General features: G+C 42.0%; 1 protein-coding gene across 6 annotated transcripts in view, besides 3 other annotated features; it reads left to right on the top strand.

The window, feature by feature from the left end:
* Positions 1–22,910, top strand: part of LHFPL2 (LHFPL tetraspan subfamily member 2) — a 163,543-nt gene that overhangs the window by 79,263 nt on the left and 61,370 nt on the right. For 5 of the 6 annotated variants that reach the window (XR_007058567.1, XM_006714515.3, NM_005779.3 and 2 more), the window contains one exon: positions 4,639–4,697. The gene's annotated coding sequence lies outside the window, so the exon portion shown is untranslated. Of the gene's footprint in view, positions 1–4,638; positions 4,698–18,603; positions 20,485–22,910 lie in introns of all 6 variants that reach the window. The other variant, XM_047416606.1, reaches the window with a different exon arrangement.
* Positions 19,941–19,990: an enhancer, noted in NCBI's record as "active region_22712". NCBI's record gives its function as "activates an Ori minimal core promoter by ATAC-STARR-seq in GM12878 lymphoblastoid cells {active_cell/tissue: GM12878}" and the evidence as "EXISTENCE:reporter gene assay evidence [ECO:0000049][PMID:35858748]".
* Positions 20,091–20,140: an enhancer, noted in NCBI's record as "active region_22711". NCBI's record gives its function as "activates an Ori minimal core promoter by ATAC-STARR-seq in GM12878 lymphoblastoid cells {active_cell/tissue: GM12878}" and the evidence as "EXISTENCE:reporter gene assay evidence [ECO:0000049][PMID:35858748]".
* Positions 22,359–22,518: an enhancer, noted in NCBI's record as "active region_22710". NCBI's record gives its function as "activates an Ori minimal core promoter by ATAC-STARR-seq in GM12878 lymphoblastoid cells {active_cell/tissue: GM12878}" and the evidence as "EXISTENCE:reporter gene assay evidence [ECO:0000049][PMID:35858748]".

The following is a 22,910-nucleotide window of genomic DNA, read 5'->3' as shown; positions in this document are numbered from 1 at the left end:
AATGCATTTCAGACTTTAAAAAAAAAGTTACACCAGCCTAGTTCTGGAGCAACGATTAATGCTTTGGCTGCAGAAATGGGGAGTGCTCTTTGTGCATAGTATGTGGCCACAGACTCCCCTTAAAATGTGGACAGACTTCCTCGAGCATTTGTTGTATCAGTAGAGCACAGTAAAGTAGGATTTGGACAATTATTCCTTTAGTTGACTCATGTAAATAAAGCCTTAGAGAGTGTGTCTACTGAAAATATAATGAGCTCTTCCTAGTCAGGTAGAAGGGATGGTTTTGTGAAAGTAGCAGAGCTCTTACTGTATTTTTGTTTTAGCTAATCTTGCTTTGGTATTTGCCTCGGTGCTTCAAGTCTTTGGGGCCCATCCTTGCCCCTGTTCTTAATATGAGGAGATAATACTTAATAAGAATGATGGTTGCAGGCATCTTACGTTGGTTGTTGCAGTATTGCCTAGCTGGAAATACACTGGCCTGCCTGGGGGGTCAGAAGTCCTAGATTGAAGGCCGTATTCTGTCATTTACTAATGGTGTGATTTAGCTTAAGTGGCTCAAATTCTTGGTTTATAAAATGGGGATAGTAAAGATGTCTCTCCCCACCCACACTCCGGCCCCCTTTTAGTAATAGTGCCTATAAAATGAGAAAATGAATTGCAGAGTGTCCTGTGATACACAGTGCTCTGCCATGAAGCTCCCATTCTTGCTGTGGATGGGCATAGACCTCAGGTCTCAGGGAAGGATTGTGAGAGGACAGTTGCTGAGACTTTCCCCCTCTGTGGCCTCTGTGATCCTGACTTACTGTTTCTTAACCCACCCCAGAGGCAACCTGGACCACCTCGGGTCAACTCTGTTTATTACACAGTTCTTTCTTCATTCAGCTGAAATTCACCCCTGTCATTTCCAAGGTAATTTTCACTCCTTGGTTCTAGTTTTACAGAGTAACATGAAACAATTCAAATCAGTGCACTTCAAGTCTTAGCAATCTGTAACTGATAAAAGGGGTCTTACAACTCTGCTTCCTGTTTTTGGCAATTCAATTCAATAAATAAGTGCTGGTGCCCATCACGTGGGGGCCGTGTTCTCTGTGTGGCACTAAAGGCAGCTATTGTTTCTCCTGACATCCGGAAGTGTAACAGAAGGGCATGCAGCCCAAATGGAGATGAATGGGAAGCGAAGACTTTTTAACTCCTTAATGTGCAAAAACACGGTAGTTTTAATTTTATTTACAATGTTTGTTGGAATAAACAGTGCCTACTTTGATTGCACTGTAAGTGGCCAAGCAGATTAATAATATACATATATACAGATAAAGACCAATATTTACATGAACCCATGTGTTTAACAACCAGTAAGTGAATAAAAACCCATATTTGCATTTAGGAAAATGGAAAAAAGGTGACCTGGCAGCGTGAGAATACCATTGTATGTGCTCTAATTGATGTTCTTGTCATCAGCACATCCCATGAGAGGATCCTGAAGTGTCTTCTCAGTGATTAGAGGAAACACACTCTTTACACTGAGTTTTACACGTTGATTATAGTATCCAAGACAAAAATGAACAAATGAAAAAGCAGTACAGCCTTAGCAGTAGGTGCCCCTAGCAGTTCTTGACCCCTGTTACTGACTAGCTGTGTGCCTTTGAGGAAGCCAGCCCTTATTCCTCAGGAATTTGTTTCCCTCATAGTTAAAATGCGGCCAAAATTTTCTCTCCTGCTTGCATTATATAGTTGTTAGGATAAAATGTGATCATGTATACGGATTTGAATATTAACACCACTTCTTGCAAGCCATGTAACTTTTGGTAAGGTTAAGTTTCTTTTTGCCTGCTTCCTCATCCTTAAAATGGGATAATACTGGTAGCTACCTCAGGGGTTTTGTGAAAGCAAATGAGTTAATTCACAAAAATTGTTTTTCAGAAACATTAGTCTCTTATTACTTCATAAACTTTAAGTAGTAACAGACCAATGTTTCTAAAAAACAGATGCCAAGATGAAAACTAGAAATAAAGACACTGTTCTAATACATAGAACAATGCCTGACAGTCCTGATATATTAACTTTTTAGGTGAATGTTTGAAGGTTCTGTGACTTAGTATATTTTTAGTATACTGTATTTTCGAAATAGCATATTTAAAAAAAAAATGAAAATCACACCCTGTAAACTAACCAAACCCAGAACAGAACTGGCATGTTTTTATCTTCCTGACTACTCTGGTGGTTTCACAAGATATTACTTCTTTGTCAGAAAAGCTTAATCATGATACTAAGAACCTATTCCTAAATGACTGTTATTTTCAAAGCTTTGGGTCAAATTAATTGATTCTAGAAAATGCTTTTTACTGTCAGTGTGAATTTGGAAAGCTTTAGGTGGGAACTGGGATACAATTCTGCCTTTTCCGTTACTGTTAGGGTCTTGACTGTCTTAACTGTCCAGAGCTTTGCTTGGTTTATATGTAAAAAAAGGAGATTTTAAAAAATGTTATCTTTGAATTTTGAACAGTACCAAGGTTGAAGTGACTCATTTTGTTGTGACTCATTTAGCTTTTAGAAATAAGGAAATGTTGATCAAGAACTCCATTTATAACAGACCCATTCATAATAATCCTAGTGGCATATTTCGCAGAAGCCATTTCCAGATAAAAATACTGATCATGACTTCCCCTAAAGGGTAAAATAAAATTGTGGGAAATGTTTAGAATTTAGCAAGTAATTAAGTTAACAAAGAACCATTTTTAAAAAGTCATCGTTTCGCCGGGCGCAGTGGCTCACGCCTGTAATCCCAGCACTTTGGGAGGCCGGGGCGGGTGGATCACTTGAGGTCAGGAGTTCAAGACCAGCCTGGCCAACATGCTGAAACCCTGTCTCTACTAAAAATACAAAAATTAGCTGGAGGTGGTGGCACATGCCTGTAATCCCAGCTACTCAGGAGGCTGAGGCAAGAGAATCGCCCAGGAGGTGGAGGTTGCAGTGAGCCAAGATCGTGCCATTGTACTTCAGCCTGGGTGACAGAGGGAGACTCTGTCTCAAAAAAAAAAAAGTCTTAGTTTCCTTAACTGTTATAACAAAGGACTTTATGAATTCAGAATTCTTTTGTATATTTTTATTAAAGTGAAACCCAATGACTGTTGTCCAGTATCTTCAAGTTTATTACTAAACTAAAATGACGTTTTTAGATAGTGGCCTTTGTGCCACTGTTGGCTTTTCAACCTCAGGTACACTTTGGATTAACACTGGTGCTGCTGATATTAAGCTACTTACCTGCATATAAGTGTGGACATTCGTAGCTTGATATTACAGATTTTGATTGTTAGCCCATGGCTGTATTTGAAAATTTGATTATAGAAAATAAGCATGTGGACTTCTTGTTTTCTTGCTTATCAGTGGAATTGAGGCTGTTGAATATTTTCTGTTTAATTTACCTTATGTGGAATTACATATTTATACACCCCAATTACATTTTTAATATCTCATGAACTCAAAATGCTTTTTTTCTAAATATTTACTCGTATACAGTGTTACCTTATAGTCCTAAATAACATAAGCCTAATCATTTTTAAATGAAGAAATTACTTTTAAATGTGCAAAAAGAAAAAGCTAACTGGCTAGTCATCTGCTAGCCAATTTCTTTTAGAGTTTGCATTAAGGAATATGTGGTTTCTATCAGGGGAGGTGATGAATAGGCTTTGTAGAGTGGAAGAGATTCTTTTAAGAGCAAGATTATCTGATAGGAGGAAAAAGGCGTGTTTGGAAACCCTGGATCCTATGGTATTGAGGAAGGTTCTCTACTTCTTTTAACATCAGTTTCCCCATCTGTTAATGGGTATCTTTGTCTAGAAAGGTTGTAATATATTCCTATAACAGTCCCAGGTGCATGACAGATTTTCAACAAATGGTAATTGTGACATTTTATGTTAGAAATTTGTTCCATTTATGTTTAATATTTCAAAGCAATGCTGAAGAGATATTTGAGGATTCTCTGTTTTGTGAATGTATTAGTAGGCTTATAATTTTCTAAAGGTTCCCTAAAGACTTTGAGACCACCAAAAGGAATCCTTGATTTCTAAATAAACTAATCATTAATAAGTTCTTACTTTTCAACTTTTCTTTTTACTATGTTAGGGTTTTTCTAAAAATGGCCCTTTTTCCACTTTCCCAGTCTTGACATCTTTGTGAATTTAGCTTTAGAACATTAACCAGCGTAACTGAAAAGGATATAAAGTGCTGCTAGGATAGTTTTTTCAGTCACAATTTTGTATTTTATTTCTTAATTTGTTTCTGGATTTTTGAGCCTTTTTATGGTCATTCATAAAGTGTCCTCCCGGACACAAGTTGTATTTTTAAGTTGGTCCCCTTGTGAGGGGAAAGGAAACGATGTAATTAGGTACATGTTCACAAGCTGGACATTCCCCCCTGGCCTTTTACTTTTTCTGGTTCATCAGTGGTTTGGACCCTGTGTTCGTGTGTCGGTGTTCCTGGGGGGAGTGGCCGTGTTCTAATGCAAGTTGAGCTGTGTGCTGCCTGGGGACCAATATTTGAATCGTCACATATTTTAATGAGATATAAAATTGCATGCTAAGTCTTCTTTGTGTGTATGTGTTTTTAAAATCTAACTCTTTGTTCAATTTGTTTTTCCAGGTGGCATTTTTCTGAAGTTGTTCATTAAGACTTCCCAGCATTCCTACAGATATAAATAGGTAAGTAAATGAAATCACATGACCTTATTGTTGGTGATTATTTGGAAACAATTTTCCAGCGAATGGCAACTTCTTGAAAAAGATGCAGTGTTTCAAACTTTTGAACCCTGTGTGGTCAGCACTAATTTTTTAAAGGCTAGAAACATCACTTGGATCAGCATACATAAATGTTATAAACAACCCTGTGAAGTTTCTTAAATGATATTGAATTTAATGCTATAATTGCCACACTTCAATTCTGACATGCTTTGTTTGTCACCATTCATACCCAAGTTTCAGAGCTCTTTATAATAGGCATAGCTGAATTTGTCTTTCCTTTCGAGCTTCTCTGTGGACCATTTCATCATTTTTATCATTTCTCTCAGAGAAAGTAGAGATAGCCGATTAAAAATACCCAATTTTATTACTCAGTGATAGCTCATATGGAAGGCTTGTGGGAATAAAAGTTAAAAACAGTTGACTAATAGGTGATTTATGATTAATTCTACAGGTTCTAATTTATAAAGGTCACTTTTTGAAAATATTAGTGACGATAATAGAGGTTGAGTAATCTTGTACAGTACACATTTAAGAAAATCAAGGCAGTACATAGTCAAATAATTGTCCCAAAAGACTTTGATCCAGCCCTGCTTCTCCCAAGGGAGAAGCCTATTCAGCCAGGTCCTCTCAGGTCTTATTATAAACTGGAGGTTCGGCTCAGCCCAAAGAAGCCAGCTCAAGGTATGGATTTGGGACTGACTGACACCCTTTCCAGGAGGGTCTGCCATGTTGAAGGGATTTGCACACAGCATTTTCACAGATACCGTCTCATTTGTAGAAAAGTCTTTTAGCTTGCAGATTCTAGGGAAGGAAAAATTGCTCTTATGTTATGAAATGAACTGGTGACTCCTCAAATGTTAAGTTGTTCTAACAACTTCTACTGCTTAGGTTAGGAAGCTTGAGGTTTTTGTTGTTGTTGTTAAACAGGAATTGTAAATACTTGTGTGTTACGAAATTATTTGAGCAGAATTCCTTCTCATAGGAATGCCAGGGCTGACCTGAGACAGATGGTGTCCTGAGCAGGCTAATCATTGGCACCTTATCAAACTGATAATCTTTTTTTTTTTTTTTTTGAAGTGGAGTCTGGCTCTATCACCCAGGCTGGAGTGCAGTGGTGTGATCTCAGCTCACTGTAACCTCCACCTCCTGGGTTCAAGCGATTCTCCTGGCTCAGCCTCCTGAGTAGAGTAACTGGGACTACAGACATGCACAACTACACCTGGCTAATTTTTGTATTTTTAGTAGAGACGGGGTTTCACCATGTTGGCCAGGCTGGTCTTGAACTCCTGACCTCAAGTGCTCTGCCCACCTCAGCCTCCCAAAGTGCTAGGATTACAGGCGTGAGTCACCATGGTCGGCCCAAACTGATAATCTTTATCTACTCCGTATTTATTTAGTGGAGGTGGGAGAAATTAATTTTCTATTAATAAAGATTATTAATAAAAATATATACCTTTGCCTGTATGTTGAAATTAAAGAACTTATTACATGTGATTTTCTGAACCAGTTGCTCATAAACCTGTTTAAAGTTTGGCTAATAGTACTGCCATGTGCTGTTCAGATGCAAAATTTCAGATGCTTGTCAGCTAGATGACACTGGGGTTGATAGTGAGGTCTGGTTTGTGCTCATAGAGTTCTACAACTGTAGATATTCTCATTGGAGGCAGGCCTGTGCCGGGGAGGGGCATTTATTTCTACTCCCAGGCACTGTCTGCCTGAGTGGAAGCAGGAGCGATTTTCATTTTACCTGTTATTTAAGGAGCTGCATGTGAAAACCCGAGTGAAGAGGCCCTACACTTCTCATGTGTTTCCCAGTAATGGCTTAGTCCCCCCTTTGTGGGTTGTCACCCTGGTCACTGCCAGACTGGCCTGTTTAATCCTGCTCTGGGGAAAAGCCAATTTCATTCTGCCAAAGCCTTCAGGATCCAGGTGGTGTGTTCCCTTGAAATGCCCCTCTCTGAATACTTAACCTAATAAAACCAGCCTTCTCTGTCTTTTTTTTAAAGTTGTGAATTCATCCCATAGAAATACAGTAACACTTTATCAAGTCAGACAAACACAAGAACAGACATTCTGAGTTAATTGTGTCTGAATTGTAGAGCAATCTGATCCTGCTTTCTTTCTTTTTTTTTTTTTTTTGAGGTGGAATCTCACTCTGTCACTCAGGCTGGAGTGCAGTGACATGATCTTGGCTCACTGCAGCCTCCGCCTCCCCAGTTCAAGTAGTTCTTCTGCCTCAGCCTCCCAAGTAGCTGGGATTACAGGCATCTGCCACCATGCCCAGCTAATTTTTGTATTTTTAGCAGAGACTGGGTTTCGCCATGTTGGTGATCTTGCTTTCTGTTATGTAGTCAGTCGCATTATATGAACTTGGTGGAAGGTTTGTTTTGAGCAAAGAGCACAGTTGCAGTCTGGGGTGAGCCTTCATGTCAGGTGGTCCTTGGCAGAGGTTCCGTCTCTGTGGACACAGACCTGGATTGGGACCCTGGCTGTGGTACCAGCAGGCTCTGTGACCTAGGGCACTTTTCATTACCATGTGGAATTCTCATCTCTACTCATGGATAATCCTTTCTTCCCAAAGTGGTGGGAAGATTGACCAACAAAAAGATGGGAATGCGTGTGATACGTAGTAAACAGCAGGTGTTCCTCTGCCTGTTCCCTGGCACTGGGTATCATGGAAAGAGCACAGCATGTGGAGTCTGAGGGGTTGCTCTGCCAGGCTCTTTCTGTGCCTCTTTGGGGGAATCTCTTACCACCTGTGCCTCACTGGCAAAGTGGCAAGGGTAATACCTGCTCAGTTTTGCCTGTCTATTCCATGAGAATTGTGAGAAGGCTTTGAAAAGTGTGAATTTAGGGTGGGTGATTAGCATAAGGGGCCTCTACTAGGCATGCTTTTTAATAATCCAGACTCTCTGGGATTAAATCCCTGCTCTAACCACTTATAATTAGGTGAATGTCCTCGAGCAAATGACTGTCACCCTGTCTCGTTCTCACCTATCTCACCTGATTTCTCTGAGAGTAAATGATGTACTGTTTGAAGACTGGGGCATACAGAACTAGCACCTAATGAATCTCAGTAAACATGCTCGTAAATTCACTAGGACATAAGAAGGGAAGCCGAGAATCAGACATGAAAAAATATCCACAGTTTTAAAACCCCTCATGTTTGAACCGTGTCTTGTTGAGCTGCGTTTTATCATGTTATGCAAGTTTGGACCAGGGAAGATGATCTGAATAAACTGAGGATGACCCCACAAGGTGGGACTCCCTCATGGGCGAACGCAGCACTGGGAGTTGGTCTTCCTGGGTTCTCTTCACAAGTGAACTGGGGACAGGTCTCTTCCCATCTAGGGGAATTCTAGCCGAAGGGGCAAAGTGAAAGCGCTATACCTGCACCATCCGATACGGTAGTCTCCCCGTTAGCATCTCCCCGTGTGGCTGCTGAGCACTTGACATATGACTAGTGCGACTGAGGTACTGAAGTTTTCTTTCTACTTACTTTAAAATTTAGAACTGAGAGTTAATTCAGTTTTTGGAAAATGTTTAAGTATGTTTGGAACAACTTTCATATGTGATTCTACTTTTTCTACTGTAAATTTTATAAATTTTAAACCAGATCAATTATTCCTGATGGAAATTTTGAGCCTTAATTGAAATGTGCAATGAGTGCAAAATACACAAGATTTTGAAGTGTTAAGTATTAGAAAGAAGAATGTACAAATTCCATTAATAATTTTTATGCTGATCACATGTCAAAATAATGTTTTAGATATTTTGAGTTATATGAAATTTATTAAAATTAGTTTATGCTTTTTAATGTTGCTACTAAAAATTTTAATTAATACACATGGCTTACAGTAATATTTTTATTGCACAGTGCTGTTCTAGAGTACCATAAAATTGGATAGTTTCTAATTTATCAAGTAAAATACTATTTTCCTTATTAGTTTTTGAAGATTATGAAAGTGGGTTTTTTCTTTTTTTAAGGTTTTGTTCATAGTCTGACAATTAACAGGTTTGAGAAATGTTTTAAATATTCAGAATTGGGAGGAAAAAAAGAAAAAATGCATAGCAAACAAGTTACGTAAGCCTTGTGTAATACAGCTTAAGGTCTGTTTTTACTTTCCTTGCAGTCCTTTGGCCTCCACTGCCTCATGAAGCTGTCAAGGGGAGCCCTCAGAGCCTTCCCCTCACAACCACTCCCTAGGATATGAAACCAGTGTTTTCAGCTAAATGATCCCCCTCCTTCATGATTGTTGACTTTGACATTTGTTGCAGGTGCCATGTTCCTGGTGTCACATACTGCTATGCCCCGGGAGATCAGTTTAGGAACAGTCATCTAGGACAAAATGACTTTTAATTACCCATGGTGATTCAGCACTGTCTTCTTACCATGGTACCAGAAATATGGAGATATATTGCCAAGGGCATGATTGCTGGCTAGATGCTTAGTTTTCGGCAGCAGTTGTAGGAAACATGAGAAGGTAATATAAGTAAGGTTATCAGTATGTTTGTTTCACATTGATGCCCTAGTGGCACTTATGTGCATTCTGAGAGGCAGTGGGTAGAGTGTTTGATTCAGAATCATACTTGTCTGGGTTTGAGGATAGGCCACATCCCTTATGAGGTGATGGTGGTGAGGATAGCTATTCTCTGTCATTCTGTTCCTCTGTAGTTGGTGCCAATCGACACTGGCCGCTTTTCTTGTTAAAATTCTTTGATTGTGTGTACTCAGTCTGTGATGCCTGTATTCTTTCGTGTAATAACCACAGCAAATACATCGCCATTGTTGTATTTTTCCAGACTGAGCAGATGGGTGGTACAGTTAAAAGCTCTGTCTAGGAATTAAGCAGGATTGATACTTCTATATTAAATAGAAACCATTATCAAATTTTTTGAAGAATCTTTAGCTGAAGAAAGGTGGCTTTTCCTTGCACAGTTTAATTGTTATGATACTGATCTTCTTAAATTCCAATATTAGAGTATAGGATACATTTATACCATCGATTTGGAAGCAGTCAATAGGTATAGGAAGCATTTATTAAGAGAAAGTGTAACAACCTTCTCCCTTTACTCGATGGTAAATTGGACCAAATATAGGGTCCTGGGAGGGGAAAAATGGTAAAGTAGAAATCGACAGTGATATTCAAGATTTAACAAAACAAATCAGAGTAATTAAATGCAGTGAAGACAAAATGGATGTAGTTCTTTTTGTCATTTTCTAATTTTGTTACTTGCATGTTGACAATGTATCTTTTTTCTGATGAGACTTCTAACTAGTCGTATCCCACAGAAGACTTCTGGGGCTTCTCTCCAGCAGGGGTATTCTCTTTCTATGAAAAGTTGCTTCCCTTGATGGACTATAAACTTCACAAGGGCAGGTGTGAGTTTTGTAGTATATCCTCGATGCCCAGTGCAATGTCTGACATTATAGACTATCCAGCACAGTGCCTGATACATATATTTGCTCAGTAAATGTTGGTCAAATTGAAGAGTGAATGGGGGCTTAACTATAACATCCACTTTGTAAGTATTTGGGAGTATGGCCACAAAATAATATAATTTGGGAAGCCACAAAATTTCTTTTAAGCCAAAAAGTAAAGTTGAACATTAAGAAGGCACCACTGGAGCAGCTGACCAGAGGCCAGGAAAGCAGATAGGAAGGCATCACTGGCAAGAAATGATGAGGACTAAAAGGGAAGTTTGGGAGAGTAGGGTGGGCAGGGCTGCAGCCGACTGATGAAACATAGCCTCATGGAGGCAGGTACCCAGGGAGTTAGCTTTGGACAGGAACAGGGCAGCTCTCTGTGGCACAGGAGGTGCACTGCCATAGGTAAGCTGAAAATACAGGGAATAGGCCTTAAGAGAATTCTTATGTTGTGGCTCAGTTCTTTTGAGCAGTGGGAAAAAAAGTCATCTGCTCTGGGGAGAGGAGGTGAAGCCTGGAGGTTTAAGAAGAATGCATGTTTTCCCTCGGTGGAAAAGATCTCTTCTCAGTGTTGATGTGACCGGAGTGCCCATGTTCCGGTAGATTCTGGCCTTCTGTCTGATGGATTATTGCACAAAGAATTCTGGTCCTCTATCCAATCAGATTAGTCCACAGGGATGTTTTGGATCTCCCGTAATAAATGTATAAGCCTGGCACAGACATGCACCTGTAATCCCAGTATTCAGGAGGCTGAGGTGGGAGGATTGCTTGAGCCCAGGAGTTTGAGACCAGCCTGGGCCACATAGCAAGACCTGTCTCTGAAAAGAAAAATGTATAGTTTTGTTGTGATCAGTGGAAGTCCATGAAAAAGGCTATATGCAAATCTCCCAGCAGGTAGATTTGGTTCCAGTTGGTACTCCTGTTGTCATTCCATCTGCATGAAGAATCCTCCTGATCCTTCCTGAGAAAGCTTTTTTATTTTAACAATCCAGTTTTAAAAATTGCTCCCAGAAAGGAAGGTGGTTTAATTGAACTCAGATGAATGAGCGTACACTGGGATCGTGTAGGGGTGTCCCCTTATCATCCCTGTATAACGAATGTATGCTTTTATATGAAGCTTGTTAACATAGGTAAATAATAGCTGTATATATTTTTATTTAGTATTCTTATTTAAAATAATTTCCCATGCCAAACCACAGCAAACCCTGCTTGCCACTAAAGAAGGCAATAGCGTATCCCTGAAGTTCTGAGATGCTGCCCCTGTAAATACCGTGTCTGCTCTTTGAAACGTCATCATGACTCCCTAACTGAAACTGACCTCTACTGAATTAAATATTGATTTAATCTCTATTCTCTTGGATTAATTCAATTCAAATTGCAATAAAGTTTTTGTAATCTTTGCTTTCTTTCATGCTCTGATGCTGGGTGGAACCGTTAGTCATACAATGGTCCTGTCCTTCTAGACACCCCTCGCACTGGCATCCCCAGAGCCACAGGCCAGCCACTTGGCACATGTTACAGAGCCAAGGTAGCAGGCAGCCTCTAAAAATGGGGTTGGCCTCATCTCTGTACCTTATGTTACCATCCCAGAACAATCTGTGAAAAGCTTTTAAGGCTATTTGGCAAGTCCGAATGAACTTGGAAACGTACCTGATTTTGATCCAAATTGTTCTATAACTGTGGCCAAGTGGTGTTAGGAGGTGGACACTTCCTGTTGTTAATTTACATCTCTTTCACGTAATGAAGGCAACTTTGACTCAGGGTCATGTTAGGAATCTAATGTGACTGGTCTGAAAGAGCTGGTCTCCTCTGGCTGCCTTGCCACCACATTCTGCCTCCTTGCTTCATTCTCAGACTACATCTGTGATTCAGTTGAAGTCCGATCCATTTTTCTCCTAGCATTCATGGAGTGACTGTGGATTGGAAAGATACAGTGCAGGGTGGTGGTCAAGTGCTTTCATGGACTTCTCATTCAAGGTCAGGGTCACCAGTTTTGGGCCATTATGTCCCACATCAGGTATATTAAGTCTATTCATCTGGAAACTGGCAGGCATTTTGGTAAAAGAATGGTTGCAGAGAAAGTCATTGGGGCAAACCCCTAGAAGCTATACCTTTCTTTCAGTGCTGTGGTATTCTGTGTTGTATGCTTGCATATTTACATCATCTGCACATCTTAAAGCAAAGGTGGTTTTTCACCTGCCCAAAGGTCACATTCAGTCTTCTCTGGTGACCTTGAACACTGGTATACTCTTGAAGCCAAGCAACAGCCCTTACATATATATTATTATGGCTGGACTAGGATTGCCAGACACATGTCTACATATGTAACAAACCTGCATGTTGTGCACATGTACCCTAGAACTTAAAGTATAAAAAAAAAAAAGGATTGCCAGAAGCTGTTTATGTGTGACCTGTCCCCCCAGTTATCAAAATCACCCAAGTTCATACAGAAATGTATAAGCATGCAGGGAAAAAATCAGTTCCCTTAGGGGTCACCACTGGTAATCTACTGTCCAAGTTCCTAAGAGTATCCCTTTTTGTACATTCTTTTCTTTACATAACTGAGTTCTTACTCTGTATATAACTTTATTTTGTTACTTTTTTGTTTAATATTATAAATATTTCCTCATGTCATTATAAGTTCCTTTTTTAAAGAAATCTTCAGTATTCTGTCTTATGATGTATATCTTAAACCATTTTAACCTGCTTTCTAATTTTGACATTTGAGTTCTGATTTTTTTAAACCATTAAATATCAACCTTGAATATCCTTTTATGGATATTATTATTTAGTTATAAAAAATATTTCCAGGAAAGTTGGGCCCTCATTGGCAGTATAAGAGAGCACCCATTGTATGTCCCCCTAATCAGGAATGAGTTATCAGTTCTTAAGTCTTTGCTAGTTTGTGAGGTGAGAATGGCATCTCATTTTGTTACTGTTTTTATTATTGACCACATCTAATGTTTTCCTAAATAGAATAGTTGTTTGAAGTTTGTCTTTTCTGAATTGTTTGTTCATGTTTGTCCTTTAGGTGAAACTCTCATTTATGATAATAGTGACATTTATGACCTTGGCCCATTTTCCTAGAAAAGTTTATTGGAATGCATAATTTTACATGTATTGTATGCTCTGTAATTGTTAACTCACACAAAAGTGTCCTACGTTTGAGGGGAAGTCAGGTGTGGAAGTATCAAAGAGAACACAGCTCAAAGTTCTCATGTGGCTTCTTGGTTGTGACTGCCCCCATCTGGAAAGTTAGCCCTGCCCAGTGGGTGCCCCTGTCCCACCTCACCCACACCTCATGAGCCCCTCATTGTCACCCTCATCCTGCCCTGGTACTTTTGATTCCACTCTGCCTGTTCAGGGCAGACAGGGTATAACTTCTATTGTCAGAAGAAGAGGAAGAAACAGAACATGTTGGCTCATGGACCCCATGAAGTGCTTCTCACCTGCTTCTCCTCTCCTGATGTTTCTTCTCAGTCTACCTGGCTGACTTCTTTTGCCTGCCCCTTCATCAAGGTCTCTGGGTCATCTTTGGTCCCCTTTTCTCCCTTACCTTTTCGCATCCTCTGGCTTTTCCAGCCCACTCTGTGGCTTCAGCTGCTACTTGCAGGCCAGACCCTCTCCTCCAGGTGCAGACCCATCCAGCCAGCTGCCTGTTGGGGTCTTCCCCTGGTGTCCCACTGACATTTTTAATTTAGCATGCCCCCAAGTGAAACTCTCCTTCTCTCTTGACTGGCCCTGTGGCCTGGGTCCCCACTTCCAGTAGAAAGACCTTTTACCCCATCTACCAGAAATACCTCTTTCCCCCTCTGCCCACATCCCATTGGTTTTATGAATTCCTGTCTGTCCTCCTTCCTCCTTCCATGTTCCTCCTTTCTTAGTCCAGGCTTCACTTCCAGAATGAGTGAATGTCTGTTTTCCCAATTAGAAATAGTCTTACACAATGGATAAACTAGATTTCTCTAAAACAAATGAAAGTTGATATTTTGCAGAGTATGCTACTTTAATGGAATCTATTTTAAATTCTCTGTATGGAGTGAATTCTCACCTATTAATTTACCATTTATAGAAATTAAGTTTTTACCTCCTTGCTTGGTTTAAATCAAAACATGCCTAGAATACTGTCTAATGTATAGTATTCATGTGAGTCCCTGGACAATACTTTCTAGTTAAAGGGCTTTGATTTGAAGACTTGATGTTTTCTTGGGACCTTAATTATTTCCATATTTCAATATGCATTTTTTTGGTTACATTGGAATTATCCTTTATTAGCTAGTTTTTCAGCTTACCTCCCAGGGAACTCAGGCAAGAAATACAAATATTTTCATAAGATTCTTTAAGGGAGTAAAATTAATATTTTTGAGATGAAAATATGATGATTTGTCTCCTAAGGATTCAAAGACTTTATTAATATAGCAAAATATCCTTCCCCAGGGGTAAGTTTTTTTAGGGCTTATTGGAAATATGGTGCTGGGAAGAATAAAAGGAAATTTAATACCATGGAAGTTGGAAATGGCCCCTGAAATCCAATCCGTTTTTAGAACACATATGACACACAATTCCCCAAGATCTGAGACAGCTCAGTTCACTTCCTGAGGCTGTCAGGCTCCTTATGGCTGTGACACGGAAAGTTTCCTCAGCACGAATAAGCCATGGCAGTGTTTTATTTGCTGAAAATCTTTCCTATACCTGATGATGGGGCTGCCCTTGGGTCTGCCTTCCCTTATCTGTATCAAGTGGCTTTAGTCTGGTACTTTTCTTAGGTTGGGTTCCCCAAAAGCAGATTCTGCAGCAGGGATTCAAGTGCAAGTAGGTGACTTGGGAGGTAAACCTGGAAAACGTTGTTAAGGGAATAGGGGTGTGAAATAGGAGAAGAGAGCCAATAAAGAGATGGCATTGCTGCTGTGGGCACCTGAGGCTCCATCTCTAGTGAATTCTATGAGACTTCCATCAGAATTATCCCAGCTGGGCCAGCAAGATCTGGGATATGTCCTCTCCAACTCCTCTCTGTCGTTAACTAACCACTTCTGAGACCAGCACTTAAGGGCCAACTCCTTGTGGGGCCAAAAGAGAGCCCTCAGGTGGAAGTCCTGGGTGCTCGCTGTAAGCGTGTGCAGGAACGGGGGCTTGAGGTGCAGCAGGCGCGCACAGTGTCTGCCCCTTGCACTGTCGTAAGTTTTCAACACTGATAGACAAGTCTGTCTAAGCGAGACACTTCAGTGGTCAGGAAGGAAGCACATGCAGAGATTTCCAGTGGAATGTACTTAAAATAGATCAGCGCCTGATCAATGCTGGAGTAAATGTAAAAGAGGTAAGAATTTGATACCACTGATCCTGAAATGGGGAACGCAGGGAGAATCTTGGAGAGGTGTCTAAATGTTGCTCCCCAAATGACATATTGTGCCTCAACAACAAACACTGACAAACCATTATAATCACAAATGGGACAACTGAATTGTCAGGGCTCCTTGTAGGGTTGAAATTTCCTCAGAGCTAATCAGCCTACAGAATTATAACTAGGTCCACAAGGAAATTACGGTATTTTTTCCATGTAGTCAGATCTGGAAGAAAACAAAAATCTGACGGAAGTCTGTGGCCAGCCAAGTCTGAGCAGAGCTACCTTCATTACTTGGGGAAATTCCTGGGGAAGGAAAGAAGGTGGAATCAGTGCTGTCAGTGGACCTGAAGAATCCTTCTGCGCTGTGTGTTTTCTATTCCTATTTTATTAATGCGGAATCCTTGTTGATACAACCTGGAAAATATATCCTAATACCCTATCAGCTCTTCCATTCTTGTCATGTAGTGGGTGAGGGGATATGATCTGGACACTACAGATATTTAATCACTTAGAGCTATTGTGTGATGCTAGAGCAACAGTACCAAAGTGTCCTTGTCCTTAAAGGCCCCCAACCCAGCCATGAGAGGACAAGCAGAGAAGTCACTGCTGCTGTGGTCAACCAATTATATTGGGGACAGAGGAGGGAACAATTCTGCCAGCTGGAGAAGGCATGCTGGAGCCATGACTTCTCAATTGGGCCTTGAAAATGACTAGCTTTTGCCAAGGGATGAAAGAGGGGAATGGCAGTCCTGGCAGAGACGAGTGTGGGCAAAGGCAAGGAGATGCGGAAGTGCAGAGTGTGGTCAGGAAGTAGTGAGTGGTTTGGGGTGACAGATATATGAGGTGGCGAAGTTGTGAAGGTAGGCAGGAGAGGTCACCTTGTGAAAGTTCTGAAAGCTTTGTCCCTGCTTTTACCATTTCTTCCACACGAATGTCCAAAGGCATGCACCATTTGTGGCGAACCCATTTCTGTTGACTCACATCCAGATTTCCACCAAACATCCTGCCATCGTAGGAACAACTTAGGTGCAGGATGATTAATGGAGCCTGCAGAACTTCTGTGGGGTTCCAAGTCCCAAAGGTGTGGCGTTTGGATAGCGAAACCAACAATTTGTGCTACATGGCTGGTTGGCGATTCTGTATAGCCCGTGACGCTTTGTTGAAGGAGAAATTGACACGCTTTATGCACTTGGACAATATTATACCTGAAATATTTATTGTTTATTTGCCATATATTTTCTATCATTCCAACAAGTCCCAAATGTGCTACATCCCCTGCATCTAGCTAGATTTAATAGTACACAGAATTGATCATGCTTATTTTTCCCTAATTCTTTCCCCCCTGCAGTAGTTCTCTCATAGCATTAGTGTGCTGGTGCCTTTGGCCGTGCCAGAGGAGCATACCTGCTCTTAGAATCCTTCAGTACATGGATTGAGAAAGGAAACAAAGGAATAAGTTGGCATCAGGTTTCCCCCTTATTACGTTAAGCAGCTAAATCCCTTTAGTTGTCTTTGTCTTGTAGAGGCCGGGGCCCTTGGCCCCCAAAGGTTAGCTAAAAATATCACTGACATGGCCAGGCGCGGTGGCTCACGCCTGCAATCCCAGCACTTTGGGAGGCCGAGGCAGGTGGATCACGAGGTCAGGAGATCGAGGCCATCCTGGTTAACACGGTGAAACCCTGTCTCTACTAAAAATACACAAAATTAGCCGGGCATGGTGGTGGGCACCTGTAGTCCCAGCTACTCAGGAGGCTGAGGCAGGAGAATGGCATGAACCTGGGAGGCGGAGCTTGCAGTGAACCAAGATCGCGCCACTGCACTCCAGCCTGGGCAACAGAGCGAGACTCTGTCTCAAAAAAAAAAAAAAAAATCACTGACATGAGGCAGATTGATTAATAGGAGGAAAGGCATACAAATTTATTAAACACGTATACACGAGTGCCTTCAGAATGAAGACCCAAAGATACAGGGGAAATTGCCCATTTTTGTGCATAGGTTCAACAGAGTATGAACAGGCATGTAGATATATGATTTGACAAGAGGGTATGATCTAATGCTAATAGCTTGAGTGGGGAAACCTAGCCTGTCTAGATTCCTCTTGGCCTCTCTGGGCATGCATTCCTTTCTTCTGGGTGTGGGGCAGTACCCTCTCTGCAATGAGGGTCTTAGGACCTACAGTCAAAAAAGGTAGATCAGAAAATTTCTTTAAGGCCAGTTTTTACATAGAATATTTTTAGGTTTCATGGCTGGCTTTTGGGAAAGGGGGTTCTGGCTTCTATAACCCACCTTGGGGAAGTGGGATTCTAGTTTTTGTGGCCTGCCTCAGGAGACTGGGACTGAGACATAGGAGGACAGGAGAAAGAGAATAACTTCATGTTTCTAAGGCTGCTGCTAGGGCTTCGTTTTGGGGTGTTGTTTTCTGAGCCCCAACAGTCTTTTATTTCTGATTGAATAGCTACCTTGTTAGAGGGAAAGACAGCTCAAGGTGGTGTCCAGGGCCTGGAGCCATTTCTCAGGGTGAATTAGGACCAGGAGCTGAAGTGGCCCCCAGATACAAACCTAGGAACCCCCAGGACAGTAGGCCCAATTACCAACTCACCAAGTCTTGGACTGACTGATCTCTTGGCTCTTTAAATTCAAAATTGCCCATAAGATTTGACGTTCAGCCATTCTCAAAAAGGCTCCCCAAATGACTTTGCTATGGAACTCTTCCAAGAAGTTACCTTGTTTATTTCTTAGACCAATGCACTCACAATTCCTTAGAAATTTCTACTTCCTCTTTTATCATTTATGAGGTGTTTTTTCCCACGGAATTCCCCGTTCCTCTAGATTCACTTTTATTCCATCCTTTGAAATTGCAGTTAGGCTTCCAGGAGATGTTTCCCTGATGATTTTACAATGTAAGAAAAGGGTTTAAAAATATTTGACACCCAAGAAGGAATGGTAGGATGTTTTGAGTCCAAGTTAGTAAATTGGCCACTGACTGCTCTGTCTTTTGGTGAATCACCATTGTTTAGTGAATGAGGTAAGAATCACTAATTCTAAGAAGCTGTTTCAGCAGCAAGATAAAAATAAATTCTCTCTATTCCCTTTGTCAGACATTCTGTCCAATATGAGAATAAATACAGAAGTATGGCTGGGCACGGTGACTGACGCCTGTAATCCCAGCACTTTGGGAGGCTGAGATGGGCAGATCACTTGAGATGAGGAGTTCCAGACCAGCCTGGCCAACATGGCAAAACCTCGTGTCTACCAAAAATACAAAAATTAGCCGAGCCTGGTGGTGGGAACCTGTAATCCCAGCCATTCAGGGGGCTGAGGCAAGAGAATTTCTTGAACCCGGGAGGCGGAGATTGCAGTGAGCCGAGATCATGCCACTGCACTCCAGCTTGGGCAACAGAGTGAGAATCCATCTCAAAATAAATAAATAAATAAATAAAAATAAATAAAACAGAAGTAAAGAGGATCCTTTTTCAGTCTTGTGTTCAGCATCCAGTGTCTCCCTGTGCCTTCACTGCATTCCGGCGCTCTCCCTCTCCATGCATAGGGACTATTTTGGAGTTTGGGCCCTGAATTGAGACTGCTCTTGACTGTTCTTGGTCTTGTGAGAGCTCTCTTCATAACGGCCTGAATCCTTGGTTTGAGTTTGCCCTCCTCTCATGAATCTTCACCCACTATTGGGATCATCATGTTCTCATGACTAGAGTATTAGTTCAATGTCTTCCGTGCCATGGCTGTTGAAAGTGGAGAACCTGGTTGTGAAGATGGATGAGCCTTTTCTTTTCAAAGGAGTAGAAAATTGTATGGGAGGCTCCAGATTGGTGGCCAACAGGCAGGTAAGAAGTAGCGTGGTTTGCTAGTGGTCCAGTAGCCTGTGTGCAAGCTTGGCCTCCTGATCCACTATGGGTTATATTATTTATTGTTATTGAATTTCAAACGTGGAATTTATTCAGAGTGAATTGTAACATTTGTTCTGTAGGAATCAAGACTTCTGTCAATGCTCAGAAATACTGTACCTGAAGAAAACAACCCCCAGTTTTTTGCATATAACTTCTAGGAAAGTTTTTCAAGGATCAAGATGATTTTGAGTGGAAGTTTCTTAATGTCTAATTACTGGAGAGCTGCACTGTGGTGACCTTTAGAGTCATAACCCCCACTCAGGAATTACCATATTGTGTGCTACTTCCACATATTGGAAGGTATTTTAGACATGGATGCAACATTTATGGGACATGTATTAAGGCAGCAAGACAAAATATATTCAACTGGAACTGTTCTAAAAATCCAGAACTCATGACCAGACTTTCCAAAATCGTGTTACAGGAAAGTGGTCTTCCTCCGCCTCTATAAACTTACTCCTGATGAAAGAAAATCGAGCAGAATTTATTGTTATTGGAGGGCTACTCAGAGTCTTCAGCATGCCAATGTGTGTTGTGGCTCTTCAAGGGGATACAGGACTCAGTGTCTGTCCTGGGATTGCTTTGATCTCAGAGTACCTATGGCCCTGCCCCAGAACTCCTATAACTCTGACCCAGTTGGGGAGATGCTGACATGTGGTAGGTTAAAAATGGTTGCACATTCTTTTTCACTCTGCCATTAATAACTGGAGTCTTATTTCCCTGCCCCTTGGGTCTGGGCTGGCCTTCTGACTTCCCTTCATGGCTGAAATGTGGCAGAAGTATTGTGTAAGTTCTAGAGTCTCAGCCTCAAAGGGTCTGACTACTTCCACTTTCACCTTCTTGGAACTCTGCTCTGAGACCTCTGTGTAAGTAAGCCAGTCTCGCCCCAGAAGGATAAGGGGCCTGCAGAGGAGAGCCAAGGTTCCCCTGTTGGCAGGCAGCATTCATGACCAGACACGTGAAGGAAGCCTTTGTGGGCCTTCCTGCGCAGCTGACTAGCTGAAAGCCATCGTGAGCCAGCCCAGGAGAAACCAGCAGAGGAACAGCCAGCCGAACCCTGGGATTGTGAGAAATAATCAGGTATTTTAAGCTATGAAATGTTAAGGCACTTTGTTACTCAACAATAGTTAACAGATACAACCAACATAAGCAGTATCACCCAATAGAAATGCTGATATAAGACAGAAAAATACAATTTTCTTATCTAATCTGATACTTTCTAGGAGGCTTTTCTGGTTTAAATCTAAATTTCTGGATAGGAGTTTTCCAGAAACCTGAATCAGGTGAATAGTTAACAAGCACATAATATGTTTGGCACATGAGGAACAGCACAGAAAATGGCATTTAATCCCAGGGTGCGTGATCCAGCATAAGTCTGCCAGTGCTGCCTAGGAAAGGTGAGGGGAGCTGAGGGAGAAGTTCTAGCCCTCATAGCTGCCCCCAGCAACAGCTTTCCAAGGGCTGACAGCTACCTGTGAGGGTGACCAGTGTCACTTAGGGCTCATTCTGACAGCTGAATAAGATTTACACAGACATGGCTGTAGATACGGCCCTTCTGCTCTGTTTGCTGACCAGCTGTGGGATGGGAGACCTTTCCAGTGTTCCTTTCATAGACCAAGTTTAATTATTACTGGCTCCAGGGGCAAATCTGATTAGCAGATGTCACAGGGGGCCTGTTTTCAGCAGGCCTTTGGTGAGATGCAGAAATGTGAGAGGGCTGCTGGTGGGCGCTCCCCACGGAGGCTGGACAGGCAAGTGCTTGGGACTGGGCCTGGGCCAGCACCAGCTCCTTGGATACAACATCCACTACCTTCTCCATGCCCCAAGGCCGGGTGGAGCTCTTTACGTGGAAGTGCAGACTGTAGCTTATGTACCGTAGCTGGGAGGCCTCTGCATCGCCACATCCAGGCCTTAAAACACTCAGAGCCAAGGATCGTGACAGTCATGCTACAGCCGTGCTGGCCAGAGTGAGTTGGGAAGAACCAGAAGGACCTTGCAGTCATGGGAGCTGGAGCTGGAAAAGACCCACTTGGTCATGAAGGCTCTTCCTCCGTCTCGGCCTGATCATTCCCTCGGGATCCTCCCGAGTGCTTTGTAAATCTGTTTCCGAATGACTCAGGCTGGGAGTCTTCCAGCCATTCCCTGGGGAGATGTAGCGGCCTTTCCTGAGGAGGAAATATTTTCTTCACGATGGGTTGGGATATTTTGTTGGTTGGCTCCAGCCCCAACCCTCCTGGCCAGTCTCCCTCAGACCACCCTGAACAGGCCCCCTGTACCTCTGGGTTCCCACAGTGAGACCTACGTCATGCTTCCGCTGAGCGGCAGTTAAACCGAGGAGGCGGGGCCTGCTTCCTAGTCCTGGTGCTTTCTGAAGCAATGACTTTCTCCAGCTGCTTTGTTATCCTGATCCCCTCCTCTGAATTTCTCAATTTTTTTTTTGTCCCTGTTAATATTTCATACGTGTGGAAACTGTGCTGGTACTTCACAGACATTGGAAGGACTGTGTATTCCACCATGAGAAAGGCATTTTCATTGCAAATTATTTTAAAATTTTGGTGAGGTTTTGATAGATTGGATTGACCTTGGTTTCCATGCCACTGCTCAGTGAGTATAAAGAAGTGTAAATGCACTATGGCTCCTCCAGAAGCCCAGAGTAATGATATCAGACGTCATGTGTGCTGGCTGGCACAGCCATGTAAACACTGTGGTCCTAGGACATTGCTTTTGGGGAGTTGATGTAACTCAATGTGTAGTCAGTAAAACAAAGAAAGGAAGGGTTTGTGTGTCTGCCCAGCCCACAGCCATGTTGGGAACATTTAGGAAGCACAAGATCGTGGTTTGTGGGCTCTGCCTCTGTTGTTACTGATGCAGCCGTGAGATGAGGAGCAGGAGTGCCCCGGTGAGCCTCTTAGGGTTCGGGCTGAGTGGCATTTCTAGGCCATAAGATGGAAATTGGAAGGATGGTTTAGATCAGCGCCCTTCTGAGCCTGTTCCACAGAGTGTTCCACTTTCTAGGGACATTTTAGGAGCTACCTGGAGGTGATGGGGGCCAAGGGGACCCTCCTCAACCCCCTACTTTTTTTTTTTTTTTACCAGTACAGTTCTGCTTTCATCTGTTTCCTATGCAGAACTGGGGTTGTTTGTCAGATTCTGTAAACAGTGTTTCATGCTCAAAAAGAAAGTTTGCAAACCACAGGTTCAGAGGACTGACTTCTAATAAAAACAAACAGAGAGAAACCTCTTTAGCCAGGCAACTAATGATTACATTTCTGGGATCTGCATCGATCAATCCACAGACATTTGGAAGCAGCCAAAAGCAAAGCACTAAACAAATAGATGTTTCTGTGTGACCACTATGTCATCAAGAAACTCGTAGTCAATATACACAGAAGACGCAGACTGTGACCTCTAAGTAGCAAGGAGACAGGAGGCCAGTTCTAGTCATATGTGCAGGTGATTCTGCCAGATTGTGGTGTTCTAAGTAAGCACCAGCAAGTCCTGGAGTC

Source organism: Homo sapiens, chromosome 5, assembly GCF_000001405.40.
Source record: "Homo sapiens chromosome 5, GRCh38.p14 Primary Assembly".
Classification (NCBI taxonomy): domain Eukaryota; kingdom Metazoa; phylum Chordata; class Mammalia; order Primates; family Hominidae; genus Homo; species Homo sapiens.
The sequence above is the reverse complement of the archived record's forward strand: the minus strand, read 5'-3'. Positions and strand labels throughout refer to the sequence as shown.